We start from the raw sequence: 10,753 nt of genomic DNA on the forward strand, positions 1-10,753 counted from the left end.
ACATAATTTTTTTTTTTTTTTTTTGAGACAAGAGTCTCACTCTTTCACCCAGGCTGGAGTGCAGTGGCTCGATCTCAGCTCACTGCAACCTCTACCACCCTGGTTCAAGCAATTCCCCTGCCTCAGCCTCCAGAGTAGCTGGGATTACATGTTTCTGCCACCACATCTGGCTAATTTTTGTATTTTTAGTAGAGACGGGGTTTCACCATCTTGGCCAGGCTGGTCTTAAACTCCTGACCTCGTGATCCACTGGCCTTAGGCTCCCAACGTGCTGGGATTACAGGCGTGAGCCACTGCACCCAGCCAACATTTCTTTTTTAAAGTGCGCAAGCTCTTTGGCCAATATGTCCCTGTGGATCACTGTAATAAGATACCCAGAGCAACTGTTTCCACCATGGAGTTGGGAGGAGATTAAGACACACTCTTTGTACTTTGGATGCTCTTATCAGGATCAGGGGAGGTCCCTGCACTCTGATTTTCTCTCTCCTAAATGCGCAAAGAACAGAGATTTTTATCATGAATAATTTTAAGAGAAAGTAAAAATTCCATAATGTTCAGGGACATGCAGGTTTTCTATTGATCATGTTTCTTCTTGATATTTTTAGGCCCTGGCCGGCCGCAAATGAGTAATCTCTATCATCATCATTGTGTTCCTTTGTGTTTTAACCTTTCCTGATTCCATTCTCTCTATCTTTCATTTTGAAGAATAGACACCAGAAAATCCTATCCCTACCAAATGCAAAAAAAAAAAAAAAATTATAAATAGTAACATTTACAAGTCACATTTTTGAATATATGTTTTAATTAGAAAATAACAATTCTAAACTTTCAGAGGAAATGATAGTAATATAAAACAGAGGACATTTTTATAATAAGGAACTCTTATATTCTTAATATTTTGCAAATTATTATTCTCTCATCACCAAATAGTGTTACTTAAAGTAATATATAACCAATACAATAAGTTTAGTTTTAAAAAACACAAAATTACAAAACAATTAATACAATATTTGAAATCATGATGCATATTGCCAGCCTCCCTTCAGGTAAAGTTCTATTAACTCTACAAAAACTTTATAAATGGCAGATGATACCTTTCCAGATAGTTTTGTGGTAATCAAAAAAGAATTGATTAGCAATTTTTATATCACATTGAGACAAAACATTATTTGTGATAAATATCATTATTGTTATGTATTTAAAACAGCTCATGTATTAAGAAATCATACTTTAGATGGGGCCAAGCTGGCCGATCAGAAGCATGGAGAGCAATGAAAACTGTGAGTGAATTCTACACCTTCAATTGAGGTATCCAGGTTCTTGCATTGTGACTGACTAGGCAGACAGCTCAACCCACAGAGAGTGAGGAAAAGCAAGTGGGGTGATGGCCCACCCAGGTGTGGCATGGAGCTAGGGGAGCCCCCACTCGCAGCCAAGTGAGGTGGTGAGTGATTGTGCGACTCTGTCCGGGAAACCATGCTTCTCCCACGGATCTTTGCAACCTGCAGATTAGGAGATCCCCTCGTGGGCCCAGCCACCACGGCCTTGGGTCTGAAGCACAGAGCTGTGTGGAGTCTCGGCGGAGTGCTCGCTGGCTCACTCGGGCATGCACCGAAACCCAGGAGTTTTGCATACTCTGCCCTGAGAATTCCAGCAAAGTGGGAGATACATGCATGCATTCCCCTAGGAAGGGGGCTGAATCCAGGGAGCCAAGTGGCATCATTCTGTGGGCCCCACTCCCACAGCACGTCACAAGTTAAGACCCATTGGCTTAGAATTCCAGCTGGCCAGCAGCAGCAGGCTGAAGACAGCCGGAGATGGACCGAGTTCCCTGAGGGAGGGGCAGCCGCTATATCTGTGGTTTGAGTTGGCCGCTCTAGCCCGTTGGCACCAAGGACCAGGAGGAGTTCCCCATAACACAGCACAGGTGCTGTGCCTGATTGTGGCTAGTCTGCTTCTTTAAGTGAGAACGCAGTCCATCCCTCCTCACTGGACAGGACCTCCCCATCAGAATTTTAGCAGCTCCAGCCAGAGTTCTATGGACATAACTCTGATTTCTCCCTGGGATGAAGTCCCCAGGGAGAGGGGTAGCTGCTGTCTCCCCGGTTCAGCTGACCTAGCCTTTCCAGCCTGCTGGCTCTAGAGACTCCCGGGGGTCAGCACAGCACACCTGTCTGCCAAGGGGCAGCCAGACTGCTTCTTTAAGCAGTCCCTGATCCTGTTCCTCCTGACTGGGTGAGACCTCCCAAAAAGGATCTCCAGACATCTCCTATAGGAGCATTCCAGCTGGCATCAAGTCAGTACCCCCTTGAAATGGTGCTCCCAGAGAAAGGATCAGGCTGCCATCTTTGCTGTTTTGCAGCCTTCACTGGTGATACCTCCAGGTTCAGGAGAGACTGAGGTGACTGAGGTCTAGAGTGGACCCCCAGAAAACCACAGCAGCCCTAGGGAAGAGTGGTCTGACTGTTAAAAACAGAAAGCAACAACATCAACAAAAAAGACCCCACAAAAACCCCATTCAAGAGTCAGCAACATCAAAGATCAAAGGTAGATAAGCCCACAAAGATGAGAAAGCATCAACACAAAAATACTAAAAACTCAAAAAGGCAGAATGCCTCTTCTCCTCTAAATGACAACACAACCTCCCCAGCAAGGGCACAGAACTGGCTGGAGGCTGAGATGGCTGAATTGACGAAAGTAGGCTTTAGAAGGTGGGTAATAACAAACTTCACTGAGCTAAAGGAACATATTCTAACTTAATGCAAAGAAGCTAAGAATCATTTAAAAAAATACATGAGCTGATAACTAGAATATTCAGTTTAGAGAGGAACATAACTGACCTGATGGAGCTGAAAAACACAACATGAGAACTTCACAATGCAACCACAAGTATCATTAGCAGAATAGGCCAAGTGGAGGAAAGAATCTCAGAGCTTGAAAACTATCTGTCTGATATAAGACAGGAATAGAAGAATAGAGAAAAAAGAACAAAAAAGAATGAACAAAACCTTCAAGAAATATGGGATTATGTAAAAAGACTAAACCTAAGACTGATAAGGATACATTGATCCACCATGATCAAGATGGCTTCATCCTTGGGATACGAGGTTGCTTCAACATAGGCAAATCTATAAATGTAATTCATCACATAAACAGAACTAAACACAAAAACAATGTGATTATCTCAATAGATGCAGAAAATGCCTTCAATAAAATTCAACATCCCTTCATGTTAAAAAAAAAACTCTCAATAAACTAGCTATTGAAGGATCATACCTCAAAATAATAAGAGCCATACATGACAAACCCACAGCCAATATCATACTGTATGGGCAAAATCTGAAAGTATTCTTGAAAACAGGCACAAGACAAGGATGGCCTCTCTCACCAGTCCTATTCCACATAGTATTGAAGTTTCTGGCCAGGGCAATCGGGCAGGAGAAAGAAATAAAGGTATTTAAATAGGAAGAAAGGAAGTCAAATTATCTTTGCAGATGACATGATCCTGTGTCTAGAAAACCCCATCATCTCAGCCCCAAAGCTTCTTAAGCTGATAAACCACTTCAGCAAAGTCTCAGGATACAAAATCAATGTGCAAAAGTTACTAGCATTCCAATACACCAACAACAGGCAAGCAAAGAGCCAAATCATGAATGAACTTCATTCACAATTGCTACAAAGAGAATAAAATACCTAGGAATATAGCTAACAAGAGAAATGAAGGACCTCTTCAAGGACTACAAACCACTGCTCAGAGAAATCAGAGAGGACACAAACAAATGGAGAAACATTCCATGCTTATGCATAGGAAGAATTAATTCATAAAAATGGTCATACTGCCCAAAGTAATTTGTAAAATAATTCAGTGCTATTCCCATTAAACTACCATTGACATTCTTCACAGAATTAGAAGAAACTATTTCAAAATTCTTATGGAACTAAAAAAGAGCCCAAATAGCCAAAACAATTCTAAGGAAAAAGAACAAAGCTGGAGGCATCACACTACCCAACTTCAAACTATACTATAAGGCTACAGTAACCAAAACAGCATGGTACTGGTACAAAAACAGGCATATAGACCAATGGAACAGAATAGAGAACTCAGAAATAAGACCATACACATACAATCATCTGATAACAAACCTGACAAACACAAGCAATGGGGAAAGGATCCCTTACTTAATAAATCACGTTGGGAAAACTGGCTAGCCATATGCAGGAAACTGAAACTGTACGTCTTCCTTACACCTTATACAAAAATTAACTGAACATGGATTAAAGATTTAAACATAAGACCTAAAACCATAAAGACTCTAGAAGAAAACCTAGGCAATATCATTTAGGACATAGGCATGGGCAAAGACTTCATGACTAAAACACCAAAAGCAATGGTAACAAAAGCCAAAATTGACAAATGGGATCTAATTAAACTAAAGAGCTTCTGCAAAGCAGAAGAAACTATCATCAGAGTGAACAGACAACCTACAGAACGGGAGAAAATTTTTGCAATCTATCCATCTGACAGAGGGCTAATATCCAGAATCTACAAAGAACTTAAACAAATTTACAAGAAAAAAACAACCCCATCAAAAAGTGGGCGAAGGAAACAAGCAGACACTTCTCAAAAGAAGACATTTATGTGGCCAACAAACATATGAAAAAAAAACTCATCACTGGTCATTAGAGAAATGCAAATCAAAACCACAATGAGATGCCATCTCACACCAGTTAGAATGGTGATTATTAAAAAGTTAGGAAACAACAGATGCTGGAGAGGGTGTGGAAAATAGAAACACTTTTACACTGTTAGTGGGAGTTTAAATTAGTTCAAAAATTGTGGAAGACAGTGTAGCACTTCCTAAAGGATCTAAAACCAGAAATACCATTTGACCCAGCAATCCCATTACTGAGTATATACCCAAAGGATTATAAATCATTTTTCTATAAAGACACATGCACACGTTTATTTCAGCACTGTTCACAATAGCAAAGACTTGAAACCAACCCAAATGCCCATCGATAATAGACTGGATAAAGAAAATGTGGCAAATATACACAGGGAATACTATGCAGCCATAAAACAGGATAAGTTTATATCCTTTCCAGGGACATGGATGAAGCTGGAAACCATCATGCTCAGCAAACTAACACAAGAAAAGAAAATCAGGCCGGGCACCCTGGCTCATGCTTGTAATCCCAGAACTTTGAGAGGCTGAAGTGGGCAGATCACCTGAGGTCGGGAGTTTGAGACCAGCCTGACCAACATGGAGAAACCAGGTCTCTACTAAAAATACAAAAAATTAGCCAGGTGTGGTGGCACATGCCTGTAATCCCATCTACCTGGTAGGCTGGGGCAGGAGGATAGCTTGAACCCAGGAGGCAGAGGTTGCAATGAACTGAGATTATGCCACTGCACCCCAGCCTGGGCAACAAGAGCAAAACTCCACCTCAAAAAAAAAAAAAAAAAAAGAAAGAAAACAAAAGAAAAAAGAAAAGAAAACCAAAAACCACATGTTCTCACTCATAAGTGGGAGTTGAACAATGAGAACACATGGACACAAGCAGGGGAACATCACACAATAGGGCCTGTCTGAGGGTGGGGAGCTGGGGGAGGAATAGCATCAGGAGAAATACCTAATGTAGATGACGGGTTGATGGGTGCAGCAAACCACCATGGCATGTCTATACCTAGGTAACTAACCTGCGCGCCCTGCCCATGTATCCCAGAACTTAAAGTATAATAAAAAAAACTTTACATAAATGCATAAAGTCTAGTATAGCTAATATATCACAATGAAATGTCAACTATAATCCCAGCTCAAAGAGAACACCATAAAATTATGAAGACCTTTCCATAAATCTCTAAATTTATGTCCTCATAAGATTATATTTCTATTTCTTCTTAATTTCCTTATTTTAGCTATGATTTAGTGATAGTAAGATGGTAATTATGAGGAGAAAATTCTAACACTCCATTGAGAATATTCTGCCTCATTTCACCACACACCTGAGTCTTAAGCAGCCACTTCCTTTTTTTTTTTTTTTTTTTTTGAGACAGAGTCTCGCTCTGTCACCCAGGCTGCAGTGCAGTGGCGAAATCTCTGCTCACTGCAAGCTCCACCTCCCGGGTTTATGCCATTCTCCTGCCTCAGCCTCCTGAGTAGCTGGGAGTATAGGCGCCCACCACCATGCCGGCTAATTTTTTGCATTTTTAGTAGAGATGGAGTTTCACTGTGTTAGCCAGGATGGTGTCAATCTCCTGACCTCGTGATCCGCTCGCCTCGACCTCCCAAAGTGCTGGGATTACAGGAGTGAGCCACCGCGCCCGACCTAAGCAGTCACTTCTAATGCAGCTAAATAATATATACTCACCCAGCTGAGTCTATGAATTGAATCCATGTATGTGAGATAAGGCCCCAAGGAGTGGTAATAAGCTGGGAATGCCATCAGCTCATCTTTCTTCAGGCCTGTATTTGTCATTGTCACTTGTAGAAGCAGGACAGCCCTGGCATTGGGATTGTTAGAAACAGAGAGTATCAAAGGGAAAACTGAACTCCCCTAATTTTTGGAAAACAGCAGATTGGAAAGAGATGGGCTCCAACGTTTTCCATGTATGAGGCCGTTGTACCAGGTAGCCTTGCTCAGGACCACATTTCTTGTCAGCAAAACAGAAGTCAAACAGTATTTCTACTTTCCAAGAGAATAGAACATAATGTCAGATTTTCTCATGGATTCCCACCAGTTCAAGAAAGTTTCATGGCTTTCATTTCTTTCTTTTTCAGTGGTCTCAGGGTCACCTAGAAATATAAGCTACTTTGTTGGAATTTGGAAGATACCTCATGACCCAAAATTACTTAAAAGATGTGTTTTTTCTCCCTGGGAACAGAGCCCCAAGTCAAGGCATCTGGCATGGGAAGCAGAATGTAGGCTGCTTTTCACCTCTCACATAGTAGGCCTGGTATATTTATCAAGGGCAGAAAAAAAACACCTCAATTGCAGGCAGCATTGGTGACTGAGATGCACATTGTCCTTCTTTATATACTTTATTTTGACATAAATTTCCAAGAACTTGTGTTTGCCATCCCATCAATTTTTTTTTTTTTTCTTTTTTTGAGATGACTCTCTCTCTGTCACCCAGGCTGGAGTGCAGTGGTGCAATCTCAGCTCACTGCAAGCTCCGCCTCCCGGGTGCACGCCATTCTCCTGCCTCAGCCTCCCGAGTAGCTGGGACTACAGGCGCCCGCCACCACGCCCGGCTAAATTTTTGTATTTTTTAGTAGAGACGGGGTTTCACTGTGTTAGCCAGCATGGTCTCGATCTCCTGACCTCGTGATCTGCCCGCCTCGGCCTCCCAGAGTGCTGGGATTACAGATGTGAGCCAGCACGCCCGGCCCATCCCATCCCTTTTTCTTATCTACTGTCTCTAGTCATGGGGATATTTTATTTCACAAACTAGAATGCCCACTTCTTGGCAACAGACACATTTTTTGCTTTGTGACACCTACCAACCAAACCTGAAATATAACTTCAAACTTAATCCTGATTATAACTGCCACATTTATGATTTTTTTAAATTAAAAAAACACGATGTTATAATGGTAGCTTTTCTTCCCATAAACCTATATATCTTAGCACAGAGCACCAGCTCAGCCTGTTTGGGTTTGGCATGGTATGTTCCCATGCGTTGTCTTTGATTCTATAACAAAAAAGTCTTCCAATTGGCCTCATTTAGGACACCATCACCCTCAGACTTCTACTCTCTGCAAATACAATTCTGCCTGAACTCTCTGACTGGATCCATTCTATCATTAGCTGCCATAACTACAACCTCAATACTCAATCTTTGTTGTTTCTTAGCTCTTTATTTGTTCATTTAATTGCCTTATTTGAAGTTTCTCTATTTCTTCTTTTTAAATGTTCCTTGGTCAGTGCTCACAGAAAAAAAAAATAAAACTGTCGACTAAGAATCCTACACCTAGCACATCTATGTATCAAAAATTGAGGATTGCTTGAGTTCAGGAGTTCAAGACAGACCTGGGCAACATAATGAGGCCTTATCTCTGCTAAAAATAAAAAATATATATATTAGCCAGGTGTGGTGGTGTGCACCTATAGTCTCTCAGCTACTTGGGAGGCTGAGGTGAGAGAATTGCTTGAGCTCAGGAGATCTAGGCTACAGCAAGCTATGATTGTGCCACTGAACTCCAGCCTGAATGAGAGTGAGGTCCTGTCTCAAACAAACAAAACACCACCACCACCACCACCAATACAGAACCTTAGGGAATCTAACAAAAATGTACTTTTGGTCAATTTTTGCTATTTTAAATTCCTGATTTTTCCTTACATTCTAATTCAAAGGGAAATGAAAGCACTGGTGAGACCCAGGCTGGAGGGGCCTTCCCTAGGCTTATGGTATGTTACCTCTGGGCAACCCCTACAAAATCTCCAGATACATCTGGGGTGAAGAATAAGCCAATGTCAGCATCTCAGAAAAGGTTTGCACTTTAGGTCTTCCTGAAGCAAGAGCCTAAGAGCGTTGAGATCTAGCAGGAGCATATTGTGTCCTCTTAGGCATTTCCCACCAAGTGACCTGGATACAAGGCTGTCTCTAGGATGTGGGTGCTTGGTTACCAGAGTTCTATGTTCTGTTGGGGTCTGTCACCAAGGAAGTAAGATCACTTTTTCAAAGTTTCATCCTCTGGACTCCTTGCTTTCTTCCATAAAACCCATCCAAAGGCCCTGCTGGGCTACTGACAGCTCACTATCCCTGCATGTCAACTCTTTACCTGTGAACAATTATGCAAGCACAGCCCTCCTCAGTTCCCTGAAGACCTGAATGAAGCCAGGGTCTCAGGTGTGAGGTCATAGATCGGAGTAAGAACCAACTTTTTCTTATTAGTTTTGTGACACTAGAAAAGTTATTGTGGGTTTTGGGGCCTTTCGACCTGTACAGTGGGTAACATGCCAGCATCTCCTTTTTTAGGGTATCTCCTTCCTCATCAGGTACGTATGAGATAAAACTTGTAAAACTCATGGTGTGGCATCCCATGTAGATAATGCACACACTTAGAGATAAAAGAATTATAAGAAGGAATGGGAGGTAGCATAGAATACAACTCAAACAGGCCTGTGTCCAGCAATGTGATATTGAAAAGTCGCTTCCCCTCTCAGCCTCATTTTTCATTCTGCACCAGTAAGAGTTTGAGGTGAAATGAAATTCAGATGCTGTCATTTTCTGACATTATTCCTTAGAGTGACTTCTCATTATATTCAGAATCAGACCCATGTCCTTCATTTTGGCCTATGTGGTGGGCAGACTACAGGAAGGCTCACAACACTCAGGGGTCTGTGGCTCACGTCTGACAAATGGAATGCAATAAACATGATGGGATAACACTTCTTAGGTCAGACTGTTATAGCAAAGATAGACTGAGCCACTTATCAACAACAGAATGTTCTTTCTCACAATTCTAGAGGACATAAGTTGAAGGTCAGAATGCCAGCATGGTTGAGCTCTGGTGAGAACTCTCTCTTCTGACTTTCAGACTGTAGACTTTACATTGCATTTTTACCTGACAGATAGTGGAGAAGGGAGCTCTCTGGGTTTTTTTGTTTTTTGTTTTAATAGAGCCAGTAATCCCGTTCCTGAGGGTTTCACCTTCAGGACCTAATTACCTCCCACTTCCTAGTACTGTTACAATGGGGGCTAGGATTTCAATGTACAGTTTTTGGTGGGGAAATGTTCAGTCTATTGCAACTCTCATTATGTCATTATCAAACAAGCTTTCATTTTCTCCTAGTCACTTTCTTCTGTGTTTCCTCCCTCAATCTCTCTCTCGATTTCTCTCTTCTCTACTTACTATGTCCAGTGTTTTCTCCCTCAGTTTCTGCCTATGTCTTTCTCTCTCTGTCAATATGTATCTCTCTTCCTGTCTTTCTACTGCATTCCTAAAGTTCAGAAAGCAAGCTCCAGTGTTATGAACTGCCCTATGCAGCAGCCTACACAACAGAGAATGAGGGAGTGCCCAGGCACTGGGAGACACTCAGACTCTCAGTCTACACTGAATCTGGCCAATACCCACAATGAGTGTGCTTGGAAGTCAATCCTCTCACAGCCCAGCTTCAGCTGAGAACACAGCCCCAGCCTCATGGAGCCCCATGTGCAGGGAGCCAGTGAAGCTGATTGCAGATTCAGGGCCACATAAACCATGAGATAGTAAGCATTTGTTGTTAAAGGTGCTAAGTTTGGGGACAATGTTGTCAGAGAGAAGCAGATCACTTTATTCTTCTTCCAGGCCCCAGAGTCCTCCTCCCATCTCCTTTTCTAGCTCCCTCTAGATCCACCAGCCTCTTTCTCACATCCTCTGCCAAAGTCACTTCTGCCTGCATGTCTCTGCACCAGGAGTGGCATCTCCCTGACACACTGTTCCCAGACTTGTGCAGGGCTGGCCCTCTGTTGTCACCCTGTTCAAGGCATAAATGTCACCTCAGTGAGGCATTTGGGTCCCTGGAATGCTATGGCCCTCTGCCCTCCTTCCCAACATCCTACTTTATTTTAATTACAGCATTTACTCTTCTTTTACATGTACTTGCTTTAGTGTTTTCATCCATATATCCTCAGACTGTTGTCTCCTTGAGTGGGGGAAAAGGCCACTCAATCATTTCTCAGCCTCATGCTGGGCCCACCAGGGCACTTGGCATAGGTTTAGTTCTGTGGCAGAGTTGCTGAGTGAATAAATGAGGAAATGTCTAT

General features: G+C 42.2%; 2 annotated features.

Moving 5' to 3' along the window:
- Window positions 1,064-1,564: an enhancer, noted in NCBI's record as "H3K4me1 hESC enhancer chr12:34295166-34295666 (GRCh37/hg19 assembly coordinates)". NCBI's record gives its function as "activates a minimal SCP1, AML or CMV promoter by ChIP-STARR-seq in naive H9 embryonic stem cells {active_cell/tissue: H9 hESC(naive)}" and the evidence as "EXISTENCE:reporter gene assay evidence [ECO:0000049][PMID:30033119]".
- Window positions 1,565-2,065: an enhancer, noted in NCBI's record as "H3K4me1 hESC enhancer chr12:34295667-34296167 (GRCh37/hg19 assembly coordinates)". NCBI's record gives its function as "activates a minimal SCP1, AML or CMV promoter by ChIP-STARR-seq in naive H9 embryonic stem cells {active_cell/tissue: H9 hESC(naive)}" and the evidence as "EXISTENCE:reporter gene assay evidence [ECO:0000049][PMID:30033119]".

Source organism: Homo sapiens, chromosome 12 (assembly GCF_000001405.40).
Source record: "Homo sapiens chromosome 12, GRCh38.p14 Primary Assembly".
Classification (NCBI taxonomy): Eukaryota; Metazoa; Chordata; class Mammalia; order Primates; family Hominidae; genus Homo; species Homo sapiens.